This window comes from Homo sapiens, chromosome 1, assembly GCF_000001405.40.
Source record: "Homo sapiens chromosome 1, GRCh38.p14 Primary Assembly".
Lineage (NCBI taxonomy): Eukaryota > Metazoa > Chordata > Mammalia > Primates > Hominidae > Homo > Homo sapiens.
Window position 1 is genome coordinate 18,696,340 of NC_000001.11, and position 15,571 is coordinate 18,711,910.

At 51.1% G+C, this 15,571-nt stretch overlaps 1 protein-coding gene across 3 annotated transcripts in view; it reads left to right on the plus strand.

The window, feature by feature from the left end:
* PAX7 (paired box 7) overlaps positions 1 to 15,571 on the plus strand; it is a 118,021-nt gene that overhangs the window by 65,494 nt on the left and 36,956 nt on the right. For all 3 annotated transcript variants that reach the window (NM_001135254.2, NM_002584.3, NM_013945.3), the window contains exons 6-7: positions 4,314 to 4,479; positions 6,755 to 6,957. In NM_001135254.2, the coding sequence (NP_001128726.1) occupies positions 4,314 to 4,479; positions 6,755 to 6,957 (369 nt within the window). The remainder of the gene's footprint in view (positions 1 to 4,313; positions 4,480 to 6,754; positions 6,958 to 15,571) is intronic.

Consider the following 15,571-nt stretch of genomic DNA (forward strand, 5'->3'; position numbering starts at 1 on the left):
TACAGGCATGAGCCACTGCACCCAGCCTTCATGGTGCATTTTTTATGTGCCAGGCATGATGGCTCACCAGTCTACGTGTGTTATGTTTATTAATTCTCACCATGACCCTGCGGGGTATGTGTGATTCTTCTCTCCATTTTGCAGATGAGAAAACTGAGATGTAGCTAAGGAAAGTAACTTCCTAAAGCACAGCTATACATATACACAGTGGAGTACTATTCAGCCATAAAAAAGAATGAGATCCTGTCGTTTGCAACAACATGGATGGAACTGGAGGTCATTATGTTAAGTGAAATAAGCCAGGCACAGAAAGACAAACTTCACATGTTCTCATTTATTTGTGAGAGCTAAAAATTAAGGCAATTGAGCTCATGGAGATAGAGAGTAGAAGGATGGTTACCAGAGGCTGGGGCGGGTAGTGGGAGGTGAGGGGAGAAGTGGGGATGGTTAACGGGTTCAAAAAAGGAATAAGGATAAAGAAGATGTATTTGTATTTGATAACACAATAGGGTGACTATAGTCAATAATAAGTTAATTGTACCTTTAAAAATAACTAAAAGAATATAATTGGACTGTTTGTAACACAAAGGGTAAATGCTTGAGGTGATGGATACCCCATTTACCCCGATGTGATTATTATACATTATATGTCTATATCAAAGATCCCCTCTATCCTATAAATATGCATGCCTACTATGTAGCCACAAAAACTAAAACTTAAAAAAAAGATACAGTTCAAAGTGACTGTGCTGGGACTTGAACCCAAGTCTATCTGCTCAGGTTCGTTTCCTCTGTGCTACATGAAGAGAAGGGCCAGATGGAATATTGGACACAGTACACAGATGGCATCAACTGTACCCTACTCCCAGCGCAGGGTATTGAGAGAAGGATCAGAAATGAAGAATAAAACCCAGCGCCTGCTTTCAAAGAACTCAGTCCTGACCAGAGATTCTGGGTAGGGTGCTGGGGCTGTCACTGTCCCTTTTAGAGCGTTTATTTCCCTCTCTGTAAACGGGCAGCTCATACGAGACGCTGGCAGAGACCCTTCCAGCTCAGCTATCTCAGAGGGTCTCCAGCAGAATGATACTTACCTGTGGCTGGCGCTGTTCTAAGCATGTTGCCTGTGCTAGCTCATTTGAGGTCCAGAACCACCTAGGAGGTGGCTGTTATTAGCCCCATTTTATGAAGAAACTGGGATAACAAAAATTTTCCCATCTTAGGAGTTAGAGGCAGAATTCCATCCCAGGCAGTTGACTCCAGCATCCCTGCTGTCAACCATCCTGTTACACTTAGTGAGAAGGGAGGTGCCTACTGGGAAGGAGGTGAACCTAGGGACATAGGACAATGAAGGAAGAAGAGATGACAGAATTGGCAACAAAGGCATGCCCTCTCCTCCAGGAAGTCCTCCTGGATTCTGAGAGGCAAAGTTGGAAGCCCCTCCTCTGAGCTCCTTACCCAACCTTGCATGTCACCCCATCTGAGCTTATTGCACTGAAAAGCAGCTGCTCTTTGACTCGTGCCCAGGCAAAGGGCAGTTTGAGGGCTAGGAGTGGGTCCTGTCCATCTCTCTAGCCTGTCTTGCTTGGCACAGAGAGGAGTCCCAGTAAAAGTTTGAGAGGAGAAGGTGGGAATAAAGAAGGAAGGGAAGAGTAGGAAAAGAAAAGGAAGGGATTAGAAGGGAAGGGAAGGAGGAAGAATGCATCCAACTTTATTCAGCATTCTTTTTTTGAGGAAAAGATGAGCGGCACCTAAGGACCTGCTGCTACATGACAAACTACAGTGGCATATCCCAAATGCCCATCGCTCTCCCACCCACCCAAGATGTTCGCCACCTTCACCTATTATCTATATTGTTATTTACTTTTCAACGAAATCAAGTGTTTTAAAATAAAAATGCACAACACTCCCATAAAGGGAAGGCAATTGTTAAAATACACACACACACACACACACACACACACACTACACACAAAGGAAAACAAAACAACATGATTAAAGCCTTTCAGGAAAATGTCACCTGCAAACGCCTCCTCTCCCTGCATTCAGAAGGGAGATTGGCACAGGTTAGAAAGGCACTGAGGATGCATTAGCACCAAACTGAGACCCCTCTTCCCCCCTTCTCCATGCCCAGGAGGCCTGGGAGAGAAGTGGAATGGAATAACTTTCCCATCCTCATGTCCAGGTTATTGAATTCTGTTTCTCCAACAGGGAGCAGTGGCAGGAGGCCCACTGTTTGGGAAACACTGAATTAGTACAAAGACCTCCTCACACCCTTCCCGCAGAGCCTGGAAGCTCGGAGGCAAGGCCATTCCTTGCAGGGCTCCCTCCAGCATCCCTGCCACTCCAGGGTGCCCCGGGGAAACCCTCGGCGCCCTGTGGAAGTGGGGAGAAGCCAGGGCTTTGAATCCATCGGGAGCCAGTCGTTTTTCCTCCAGGCTTGGCTGCCTCCTCTCCCTTTCTCTGTGAAACCTCAACAGGTGAAAGCCGGCAGCTCTTGTTTATCCAGCCTGCAAGCTGAACGCTGCTTTTCCCACCCGGGAAGGATGGCTCTAGGGGTGCATAAGCGCCCTCCACCTGGCTGCATTCCCCTCCCCCATCTCAGCAGACACGGCCCAGAGATTTGGGGGTCTTGGGTGATCAGGTGCCAGGGGAGGTGGCGGCCTTCACCCCCCATCAGGATGGAACACCAACCAAGCCTTGTAGCCCCAGCCCCAGCAAAGGCACCCCAGTGCCAATCCTGCCTCCCCTTGTTCATTCATTCATTCGTCATTCACTCCTTCATTCATTCAACAAGTATTCCTTGAACACTTACTGAGCTCCAGGCATTGGGCAAGGAATGCATGGCCTCTGTCCCGTGGAGCCTGAGTCTGAGGGGGACATTAGGAGCAGCACAGCCAAGAAACAGATATATAGAATCATTGATCCTGTGGGGAAGCACACAGGTAGGAGGCCCACCTGACAGAAGGCAGAGAACCTACCTGAACCCACCTTAGATGCGGCAATTAAGGAGTAGGAGTAGGAGGAAGCATTTCAGCTGAGCTCTGAAGGCCAAAGAGCCAGCTGCAGGAAGAGTGTTCAGGGGAGAGGGAACAGCATGTGCAAAGCTGAAGGTGGAAAAGAGCCCCCTCAAGGCAGCCCCAGTGTGCACCCTCATTCTCCTCTTTCTCTGACCTGTCCCAGGAAACTTGCAAATCCAGATAAGTGGGCTCTAGAAAGCCAGACTGATTTTTTTTTTTTTTTGAGGCAGAGTCTCGCTTGTCGCCCAGGCTGGAGTGCAGTGGCGTGATCTCAGCTCACTGCAAGCTCTGCCTCCCGGGTTCACGCCATTCTCCTGCCTCAGCCTCCCGACTAGCTGGGACTACAGGCGCCCACCACCATGCCCGGCTAATTTTTTTGTATTTTTAGTAGAGACAGGGTTTCACCTTATTAGCCAGGATGGTCTCAATCTCCTGACCTCGTGATCCGCCCGCCTCGGCCTCCCAAAGTGCTGGGATTACAGGTGTGAGCCGCTGCGCCCGGCCAGACTGATTTTAAGTTTGAACCTCAGCTCCAACACAGACTAGCTGTGTGGACTTGGGCAAGCAACTTGACCTCTGTGAGCCTTGGTTTCCCCTTCTGTAAAATGGGAATAGGAGAATACGTCTCATGGGTCTATGTATGGATTGATACGTGAAGTGCCAGCACAGGAAGGGGAGACAAAAATGTTGGGTTATTATCCCACTAATGTTTGATAAATCCGTGTGTGTGTGTGTGTGTGTGTGTGTGTGTGTGTGTGTGTTTCCTATTTCAAGGAGGCCCAGGGTGTGTAAGCAAAGTAGGGCCTCAGTCTCCAGAGAAAGAACCCGGCTTGCACATCTGGGTCTGAAGTGCAGGTCTCATTCAGGTGGGTTGCAGATGCGTGGCTTCCTCCTGGGGGGCTTCCTGGAGGAGGTGGTCAAGCAGGGCACCAGCATCCCTCCAGGAAGGAGCAGCTGCAGAGGAAAGAGCACTGGCCTGAGAGCCACACAGGACTGGCTGGACCACTGACTCAACCTGGCCCATGGACAAGTCACCCACTTTCTTTGGGTCTTGGTTTCCTCATCTGTAAAATGGGGATAATATAGAACCCCCTCACTGGTGGTTGTGAGGGCAGAATGGGGTCATACCTATGAAATCACTCTGCAAAGCGTCCTGTGCTGCACAATGCCGGGGCCTGCAGGAGGATGCTGGCTGGATCAGAGGGTGATGGCTTGGGCAACTGGGTCTACATGTGTTGCAGCTCTCTGCCAGGAACCTGGCCGAGGGGTCTCCATTCTCTGCTCTCCACCTCCCAGGTCTGGTTCAGTAACCGCCGCGCCCGTTGGCGTAAGCAGGCAGGAGCCAACCAGCTGGCGGCGTTCAACCACCTTCTGCCAGGAGGCTTCCCACCCACCGGCATGCCCACGCTGCCCCCCTACCAGCTGCCGGACTCCACCTACCCCACCACCACCATCTCCCAAGGTGAGTGTCTTGGCCCCGTCCTGCCATCTCAGTGGTGCCCCTTCCCTTCTTTCTTTACTTTCACTTACAAAGGCTCTTCTTTTTTTTATGACCATTTCTTACTTTCATGTAAGCAGGCTATTGAGAGCAAAAAGATGCAATCCTGCCCTTGAAATTCTTGGCCCTGACACAGAGCAGCCAGGTGGGATCCCCAAGGCAGCCCCTGTGCACCTGTTTAGAACTGAGCTTCTCAAATGGTACCAGGGATCTCCCAGGAATGTTACTAAAATGCTGGTCTGGGTGAGGCCTGAGATTCTGCACTTCTAAAAATCCCCCTGGGAATGCCCAAGCTGGTGGAGCATGGACCAGGCTTTGAGCAGCGAGGATTTGGAGGAGAGGACACTGGGCTGACCTGCTTTGGAGGGAAAGGAACGGATTCTGCAGGGACTTTGGGACCATGCATAGTCACAGTCTTTGAGTTTTTAAAGTGAGAGAGTGACATGAGTACAAATGTGCGTGTGAGTGCGTGCATGAGTGTGTGCGTGTGAGTGCATGAGTGTGTGCGTATGAGTGAGTGAATGAGTGTGTGTGGGTGTGTGCATGAGTGTGTGCGTATGAGTGAGTGAATGAGTGTGTGAGTGTGTGCATGAGTGTGTGCATGTGCACGTGTGTGTGTACTTGTTGGGAAGATGTTGGAATCATGTTGGAATCATTTTTTTTTTTAGATTATGTTGGTCTCCAACCTATGACAAAAAAAAAATTTACAAAGGGGCTTAAATAATTTGCTGGGACCTCATTTTCTTGCCTCTCTCTGGAAAGATCCATTTTCAGAGATGGAATAAAGGTCAGGGTCTCCTTTGAGGACCTGAGAAAGCTCCCTATGAGGGATTCCCCCCACTCTGGGGTGAACAGCCCTAGGCCAGGCTGGGCTGAGAGGGGTCAGAGCCCTCAGGTCCTCCTGGGAAGGAGGCCTCACTTGAGCCCAGTTCTCCCAGTGGCTTGAAGTATAAGATTCCCTTCTAGCGCTGGAAAGGGATAGGCAGAGGGAAGAAGGTGAGTGGGTGAGAGAGGATAGGGGATCAGGGGGCCTTGGGAGAGGAAAGGAAAGTCTGGGTCTCAGGAGAGAAGGTGAGCCTTGTAGGGGAAGAAGGGTTCCCTCCCCCTACCTCACCGGAACTTGCTCTCATTCTGTCACCCCAGAAGCCCTGTCCCAGCACACACCAGGAATACCACTACTTGATATTGGCCTCATGGGCTGGGCGCAGTGGCTCACAACTGCAATCCCAGCACTTTGGGAGGCTGAGGCGGGCGGATCTCTTGAGGCCAGGAGTTGGAGACCAGCCTGGCCAACATGTGAAACTCCATCTCTACTAAAAATACAAAAAAAAAAAATTATCTGGGCATGGTGGCGTGCATCTGTAATCCCAGCTACTCAGGAGGCTGAGGCAGGGGAATCGCTTGAACCCGGGAGGCGGAGGTTGCACGGAGCCCAGATCGCGCCACTGCACTCCAGCCTGGGCGACAGAGTGAGACTCCATCTCAAAAAAAAAATTAAATTTTAAAAAAGATAGCTACCTCATAAAGCCTCCTCTTAAATGACTGGCAGGCTGGAGTTCTGGAGGCCAAGGAAAGAGTCAAAGAGCCCCCTCCAGCACCACTGTGACTTGGTAAGATAAATTGAACCAGTGTTGAGGGTCCCAGCCTCTGCAAAGCTGCACAGAAGGGCCCAGAGAGCGCAGAATAACAGCCTAGCAGCAAAGAACAGAGATGGCTCCAGAGTTAGGCCATTCAAATCCTGGTCCCATCACTCACTAGCCTGGTCATCTTGTGTGAGTGCCCCAAGCCCACCAAGCCTTGGTTTCTTCATCTGTAAAATGGGATTTACAGTCTTGCTTCATACCCTTAGGCAGCGTTTGTAAAAGCACCTGGCAAGTGGTTGACGCTCACAAAACAAAACAGACTGGGTAGATTAACAGAGTCCCCATCAAGGTCTGGTTTTCAGCCCAGCTGACATTTATTGAGCACCTACTGTGTGCCAAGCACTGAGGAACAGTGGCTGGTGTGCACCTGTCTAGGGGTTGTCTAGAATGTTGGGTTGTCAGTCAAGACCTGGCCAGTGCCTACTGCCCTGCCCAGGAGCCAACTTGTCTCATCCCAGGTAGCATGAGAGGGTGGTCCCTTCCCTCCAAGGAATGGAGACCGGGAGGAGGAGTCTCTTGGCTTGCCTTCTGCTCTCAGAGGCCCAGCGTCCAGGATGAGGCCACTTGCTTAGGACCTCTCTTGGGTCTCTCTACAGATGGGGGCAGCACTGTGCACCGGCCTCAGCCCCTGCCACCGTCCACCATGCACCAGGGCGGGCTGGCTGCAGCGGCTGCAGCCGCCGACACCAGCTCTGCCTACGGAGCCCGCCACAGCTTCTCCAGCTACTCTGACAGCTTCATGAATCCGGCGGCGCCCTCCAACCACATGAACCCGGTCAGCAACGGCCTGTCTCCTCAGGTAGGTGGTCTCAGCCCAGCACCCAGGATCCCACCGCCACGAAAGTCAGACATCTGCAGACAGCACGTGGGTGGAAGCCTTGCGCTCTTTCCTGTAGCAGGCTGACTGCGGTTGGGGTTTTTGTTCTAGAATCAGGAATCCTCCCTGGACTCTGTCCTGTGCTCTTGGCTTTTCACCAGGAGTGACCAATTCCTGAAAGGCAGGACCATGTCCTATTGGTGGAGAGAATTGTGGATGGGGTTCTGGGCCGGTAACTCTACCCTGATTGGTCAATGGAATTCTGTTTGCTCCTGTGTGATTGGTTAAGTCATTCATTGCCTCGGGGTGCTGTTAGAAGTCACAGGACCTGCTTTGGATGAAGTCAGAGAGATAATGTGGGCGCTGATGGTGGTTATTGGTGAGTTTGGGGAACAGGACTTGATAATGCCGGAAGTCCCAATGAACTTGAGGAACTGATGGGCTCATTTTTTTGTAGCTTCAGCAGGCTCCCAAATATCCGTGGGGGAAGGGATGAAGTGCCCCCTGCCACATGTCTGTGGTGAGAATCCACTGCACATGATCCAAACTGATCTGAAGAGCCATAGTGTGGCAGAACAGTGAAGCCTGTGGAATGGGTCTAAATCCCAGCTCTACTGCTCAGGGGTCTCTGAGGCAAGTCAGCATCTGTGAGCCTCAGTTTATCCCCTATTAAACAAAGAGAGTCTGTAACTAACGTCTCAACAAGAGGTGCTTGCCACATTCAATATGCTAACAGGTCAGAGCACCTAGCCCAGAGCCTGGCACGAAATCAGTGCCAAGTAAATATTAGTTCTCTGGCCCTCCCAGTGTCAGGACAATGTAATTAATATGGGAAACCCATTACCTAAAAGGAGAATAGAAAGAATTCAAAGAAGGCCAGCAAGCTACATCCTGCGGGCCACATCTGTCCAGCTCCCTGTTTTTTGTAAATAAAGTTTTATTGGAATACAGCCATGTCCATTTATGTATGGTGGCTTTTTTGCCACCACAGCAGAATTGAGTAGTTTTAAAAGAGATCATATAAGGCCGAGCGTGGTGGCTCACACCTGTAATCCCAGCACTTTGGGAGGCCGAGGCGGGTGGATCACCTGAGGTCAAGAGTTCGAGACCAGCCTGGCCAGTACGGTGAAACTTTGTCTCTACAGCAATACAAAAATTAGCCAGGCATGATGGCAGGTGCCTGTAATTTCAGCTACTTGGGAGGCTGAGGCGAGAGAATCGCTTGAACCTGGGAGACAGAGGTTGCAGTGAGCCAAGATTGCACCATTGCACTCCAGCCTGGGTGACAGAGTGAGACTCCATCTCAAAAAGATAAATAAATAAATAAAAAGAGAGACCATGTGGTCCACAAAGCCTAAAATATTTACTATCAGGCCCTTACAGTAAATTAAAAAAAAAAACAAACCTTTGTCTGAAACATTCCCAAGAATGTTAATTTTCTGCTTGTCTGGATTCATTTCTGTTTGCCTCCATTAATTTGTGTAGTTGAGGGTTAATTGCCTTTCAGCTGCATCGTTTATTTATGGGAAAACCCTTGAGTAAGTCCCTTCCCCTTTCTATGCCTCAATTTTCTCATCTATGAAATGGAGATAAGCCCAGTACTTGCCTCCCAAGGTTGCTGGGGATTGAATGAGATGATCTGTGGAAGGCAGTCAGCTCAGGTCTGGCACAGAGTGAGTGCCCAGTACCTGTAGGCAGCTGCCTGCGGAGCTCCTAATGGTGACGTATCAAGCCCTCTCAGGGTCCGCAGTATGAAGGGTGATGCCACTTACTTGGCTGACCTTGTCAGCCCCTGCACTAGTCCTCACCAGGCCACCCCACTCTCTTGCTGGGATCCCAGGTGAGCTAAACCCTGCACATGGAATACAGCCTGTCGGCCAGAATGTCTTCCCTGGGGACCCCAGTTGGCTTCTTTGAGGTTCAAGGTCATGGCCTCCATCTCACTAGTGCTAACCTTCCAGAGCCCTTGAGATGAGTCACAACAGGATCCCTGAACTGGCTGGGGGAGGACACTGCCGAGATCCAAGCTTTCCACACCCAAGAATAGGGTCCAGGCGTGGCTTGGTGGTACAAAACAAATTTGGGGGAGTGTCCTTAGAAAGCTGAAGAGGGTCTTTGGGGTTCTGTGTGCAGCTGTCTTGCTTTGGAGATGGAGGGCCCCAGTACACATTGGCCAGGCCAGGGTTGACAATCCGGCGCACCTGACTCCATGACCACTGCTTTTCCTAGCCCGCCCTGTCTCACTGTGGGCTGAGGTTTATCCCCAACACAGGACTCTGTCACAGGACAAAAGAGAGACTTAGCAAAGAAGGGGCCCCAGGCCTCCAGAGTGTGGGTCGGGGATGGGAAACCAACCCACTGGTGTGAGCAGTGGATCAAGGGGAAGTATCTCCCCCATGGCAAGGAGACTTCAGGGTTGGATGACGTGTTTTCCATCCTCTCCTGGAAGTTCCTAAGTTGGACGCCCAGCCCTCCACCCAGCCCAGAATTTTACTGAAGCTAAAAGCGAGAGGCCTCCAGCCCATTCCTCAGGGCTGGGAGGCTGACATGATGAATCGGAGAAGCTCAGAGGCTCCCATCAAAGGTGTGAAGACAGATGGAGGGTCTGACCGGGGCAGAGGGGACCAGGAGGTGAACAGCTGCTGGAGGAGGGCGGGTGCAGGGGCAGCAGGGCAGGCCGTGTGTGCTTCTGTGCATGTAAACCGCAGAGGTTAACCTGCGAGCACTTCCTGAAGGACGGGTGCAGCGAGCAGGGCGGGAGTTTCTGGGTCTTGTACAAAAGCTCCCGGGGTTGCTAGGCTCCGACTCCCACTGCCCTCCCTCCTCACTCTGGGCAGGTGGACTTGACACCATCAGCACATCACTGTGGTCCTGGGAGGTGTGGGGCCAGGAATCCTCTGTGTATAAGGATCTGCAGGGAGACGCCCTGTGAGGACAGATCTGCCTCCTGCATCCTCTCTTCCCAACAGGACCGGCTTCTCTATAGCTCACCTGGGCAAGAGGGACAGGTTAAGCTTCCCCGCTGGGCTGTGGGGTAGGCACACTGTCCCTTTCCCCAGGATGGCAGGTCCCTGACACATTGCCCAGATAGATGTGGACCTCAAAACTGGAAGGAATTTTTTTCTTTTCTTTTCTCTCTCTCTCTCTTTTTTTTTTTTTTTTTTTGAGACAGAGTCTAAGTCTGTTGCCCAGGCTGGAGTGCAGTGGCGCGATCTTGGCTGATTGCAACCTCCGCCTCCTGGGTTCAAGCAATTCTCCTGTCTTCGCCTCCAATTCTCCTGTCTTCGCCTCCTGAGCAGCTGGGATTACAGGCCCCTGCCGCCACTCCCAACTAATTTTTGTATATTTAGTAGAGACAGGGTTTTGCCATGTTGGCCAGACTGGTCTTGAACTCCTGACCTCAGGTGATCCACCCACCTTGGCCTCCCAAAGTGCTGGTATTACAGGCGTGAGCCACTGCGTCTGGCCGGAATTTTTGTTCTTACAGAAGCCAAAGGGGCTTACACTGGAGGATGAATTTGTGGCTCTACCGAGAACCTGGACAGACCCGGGTTAAGCTAGCTGTGCATCACGCTGGCCAGCTTGCTACTACCGTGGGGAAGACATGCCTCCTCCAGTGGCTTGACCCAAGTCCCTTGTCTCAAACCCAGCCTGGGAAGTGGGGACCACAGAACATCAAGGACTCCATGCAGAATCTCAAGGAAAAGCCATTTACTCATCTCATCTCTGCACGTGCCCCCTGGCTTGGAAGGGAGTCACTAACATAATGAATATTTATAGAGAATCTACTATGTGCCAGGCACTGTTCTAGGCACTTGGGATAAATCAGTGAACATGAGAGGAAGACCCTTATATTGTCCTAGTGGAGGTGACAGTACAACAGGGTCAGACAGACAAAAAATATAATTTTAAAAGGCATACAGTATGTTTAATACCAGTGTTGACAAGGACAGCTGAATTTTCTGGAGCCCTTCTGACTTTCAGATCCTGCTCTGGGTGTTTTACTTATATTAATCCACTTAAAGGGTAGAGCCAGGATTCAAACCCATGTCTTTAGAGCCTGAAATCTTTTCCTTTTCTTTCCTTTTCTTTTTTTCTTTCTTTTTTTTTTTTTTTTTTTTTTGAGATAGGGTTTCACTCTGTTACCCAGGCTGGAGTGCAGTGGCGCGATCTCAGCTCATTGCAACCTCTGCCTCCTCCCAGGTTCAAGCAATTTTCCTGCCTCAGCCTCCAGAGTAGCTGGGACTACAGGCATGCGCCACCATGCCCAGCTAATTTTTTTGTATTTTTAGTAGAGGCGGAATTTCACCATGTTGGCCAGGCTGGTCTTGAACTCCTGACCTCAAGTGATCCACCCACCTCAGCCTCCCAAAGTGTTAGGATTACAGGCATGAGCCACTGCGCCTGGCCTAGAGCCTGAATCTTAGTTACTTGTTCTGTCTTCCTGCCTCTCAGAAATGCCCTCACTTGCACTCTTTTTAGAGATTGGCTGGTGCAAGAAGAAACCATCTAGGGAAGCCACCCCCCATCTATGGAAGCCACCCCCTTCAGTTTGGTGGAGGAAATAGCTCATTCGACTCATGTGGTGGATGAGAAAACTGAGGCCAATGACTCAGGTTAGGGACCAATAGGCAGAGCTGAGTTATATGGGCAAATGCTTTTCAGGAGGTTTAGATACCCTTGAGGCTTGGTTCCCTGATTGTCTCCCCTACCCACCCAAGCCCCAGCCTAATAGGATTAGGGATTAGGCACTCAGCACATGCATGTCCCTGGCTTTGTGCACTGGGTCCTTCTGAAGAGATGTAGGGAAAAGGAATCCTGCTCATGAGACCTCATTCCTGATAACGTTCATCTGGGGTTAGGATCATAGACTACCCGCAACCCCCAGCCCACTCTCTCCCCTCTGCTCCGGGCTGAGGGCCAGTTACTTGGACAACGACTGTAAGAAAACAACTTAGAGGTGGGGTGCCGTGGCTCACATCTGTAGTCCCAGCACTTTGGGAGGCCGAGGTGGGAGGATCACTTGAGGTCAGAGTTCAAGACCAGCCTGAGCAACATAGCAAAACCCAGTGTCTACAAAAAATTTAAAAATTAGCCAGATACGGTGGGGCGAGCCTGTGGTCCCAGCTACTAGGGTGGCTGAGGTGGGAGGATTGATTGACCCTGGGAGGTTGAGGCTGCAGTGAGCTGTGATTGTGCCACTGTGCGCCAGCCTAGGCGACAGAGAGAGACCCTGTCTCAAAATTAATTAATTAATTAAAAACATAAAATGACTTAGGATGAAAGGAACCTTTTGTAACGCAAATGACTTTGAATAATGTGACACCTGCAGATTCATCCCTTCATACCAGCCCCTGTCTAGGAATCCCAAGCAGGCCAGGCTCTTAGGAGTAGTGACCACAGGCAGAAAGGAGAACACAAGGCTGGCCCTTCAGGGATCTCCAGTCTGGTGGGGAAGACACAGCCCCTGTCTTCAGGAACTCATAGTCTGACGGAAGAGACAAAACCCTCATCCTTAGATGCCTTAGTCTGATGGTGGAAGCACAGCCCTCTCTTGGAACAGAGCTCCAAGAGACAGGTGGGGAAGACAGGCATCAGAAAGTCATTCAGAGCTGCAGTATTTGGCAGGCTGAGATCCCAAGCAAAGAACCAGGAGAAAAGTTCTGCCAGTTTCGAGGGTCCCTTGGGTTGAAGGCTGCAGGCAGGGTGCCTTGTGCTGGAGGCTTCCTCAGGGCCCAGGTGGTGTGTGCCAGGTGGGGCTGGGAGGTGTGGTTAGCTGGAACTTCCTCATCTCCCAACCTTTTTAAGATGCCAACTATATCAGAGTAGGAAGTGGAAACTGAGGCCCAGAGAGGGCCCAATCTCCCCCGAGATTTTCTGAAAATCACACGGTTGGGTTAGCGGCATCCTTGGCTGGGGTCTGGAGGGCTCCTGCCACGACCTCGTGGAAGGGGCGTCTGTCTCCCCAGCACCGCTCCTGGTGCTCTTTTGTAATGTCCCATACTCATCGTCTCCTTTGTTCCTTTCTGGAGCTTAAAACGAAGGAAGCCATAAAGGGATTTACATATTTACAATTTCCCCACACACCGACCTAATGAAGAATATTCTCTAAGTGTGCAGTTAACCACACAACCACGATCACGGCCAACCAGCCTTTCTGTCCTTTCCTGCTTCTTGATACCCTTCTCTCCGGTCCAGCCTGTGCCTTTAGTAATTACGGCGACAGCAATGGCAGAGATCATGCTTACAGAGGGCCAGGTCCCGATGGGCCTGAATGCTGACCCCACTTGCCCTCCTTGACTCTTGGCTGTTATCTTGTGACCCTCGTTTTACAGATGAGGAAACCTTCCTTGTCCAGGGTCCCCTATCCATCCAACCACCTAAGAAACATTTATGGAGCCTCTTCCAGGTGCCAGGTTGTGTGCTAGGATCTGGCAAGTGGCAGAGTTAGGATTCCAACAGTGGCTCCAGAGCTCACGATGCTACTGTGTTGTATCTGCCTGGTGAGGTTGGTCTGGTGGTCCATCCAGGGAAGCTGAGGTCCTAAGTCATAGGGGCAATTAATGGCAGAGTCAGGTTCAGAGTCGCTGTCCCCAAACGCCAAGCTTCCTCTTTCCTCCTGAGACCCACAGAAATCAAGCTCAAGGCTTTACCTTTATTTATTTGTGAATGGGGTCTCCTGGGTGCGTCTTAACAGCACATGCCCAGTACTGCCCTCCTGGCATTGTCTGAGGCCTCTGGGCAGCCAGTTCAGCAAGAAAAGACATTCCATCAATGGCACACCTACTGGACGCCAGATCCCATGTAAGCACTTTGCCTATCTGAAGTCATTCCAGCCCCACAGCAACCCTACTCTTGGGGAAATAGGCTCAGAGAGGTCAAGTCACTTGCTGAAGGTCACAGAGCAGGTGAGTGATGGAGATGGGGTTCTAATTCAGGTCTGCCGGACCCAGGAACCTCACCACCACTTGACTCTCAGCAAGACACGACCAAGACAGTCCTCTTGCCCTAGGGAACTGAGCAGTGCCACTCACACAGTGGACACTGGAGATTCCTACCTCTCTCTCCTATCACTTCCTCTTCATGCCCCCACCCCTTCATTGGCGACACTGCGTTTATAATAGGCATTTAAAATGAGTCTTGCTGGACCAGGGACGAGGAAGGAGGAGGGAGCGAGAGATTTGTAGGCAGGAAGATGGGGAGGGGGATTGTGGGGTGTTAAATAGCCCAGAATTTAAAAAAAAACTGATGCAAATCACTGGTAGGAGAGAAAATTATGTGCAATTACGTCCTGATATTGGAAGGTTTTGCCTAGCCCAGGCAACAAGATCTCATTAACAAGCAGAAAATAAGATTGAAATGGTGTGTAAAAGAGCTGAAAAATGAATTTGAATGCTGCGTTTGTCCACAATTACCCCCTCCTTCACACATATTTTATTGCAATTTTTTTATTATTCTTAATCTCTCCATTCCTCAAAGCAGATTGGGGACATCCTGGCATTACCAGGGCGTCAGGAGGAGGTGTGGAGGATTGCCTGCCCCGCTGAAAGGAGACCCTTCTCTCGCACATTTTCCGAGGTTGGGTTTTGGAGGGATCAGAATTCATTTCTCCGGCTTAGCAGGTTGTAGGAACATGGGGCTTTAACCCCAGCTGCGCGCTCCTCTGCGCCCCGCCCAGCCCTTCCTTCTCCTCCCTTCCTGGGCGAGTCTCCTGCTGCCCGCTTCCTCCCTTTGCCTTCTCTGGGTCTCTTTCAGGCCTCCGCTTTCTCGGGAGGCCTCTCCCTCAGGCCCCATGGGTAGAAGGAAGCCTGGAGCGAGAGAAACTGTGCCACCTGTGCCAACAAGCAGCCGTGAGTTGGAGCTCTGGTTCTGCCATTTACTAAATTGCTGTGTGGCCCTGGCACAGCTTGCTTAACCTCTCTGGGCTTCCTTTTCCTCATCGGAAAACAGGGGTAATCATTGCTACCTCTCAGGGGTTGCTGTGAGAACTAAGGGAAAATTCAAATTAGGTGCCTGGTGCAAGTAGGAGCTCACTAAATGTGCCCTCGTCACACCCCCCTCACCTGTGCCCTGGCCTCCACCTCTGCCTCACTGCCATCCCTTCTGTTTCCTTCCCTCTGTTCCCTTCTTTTACTTCCCTGCTCTCCTTGACCCCCTTCAGTTAACTGGACAATGCTTGAGTTGGTTTCCTATCCAGGGCAATGTAAGGGGTTCTGCTGACCTAAGTCTGGGGAGGAGAAGGTGCCAGGTGCAGGGGGTTCCCTCTCTGCAGAAAGCAGGGGAAAGGCTGTCTCCTGCTCCTCCCTCAAGCCCCTGGGGAAGGACGAGCTGATGGAGGAGTGCTTGACTCAAGTTGGCAGGGCATGGGCTGAGTGGTTTTTCCCAGGATTAGGGGAAAGCTAACTGAGTCATCCCCCCACCCTCCAACACACATCCCCACACCCCTGTTTCTCTTTCTCTTCATGACCAGTGCGGTTGGTACAGAGTCAGGGGTCAGTTTGTGGAGTGGACCAGGAGTCCGTGGCTGGATCTTCTTGGACCTGAAGCCGAATGACATTTTTCAGTGTCTGCCCTCCCCAACTGGCCTTCTGCACCC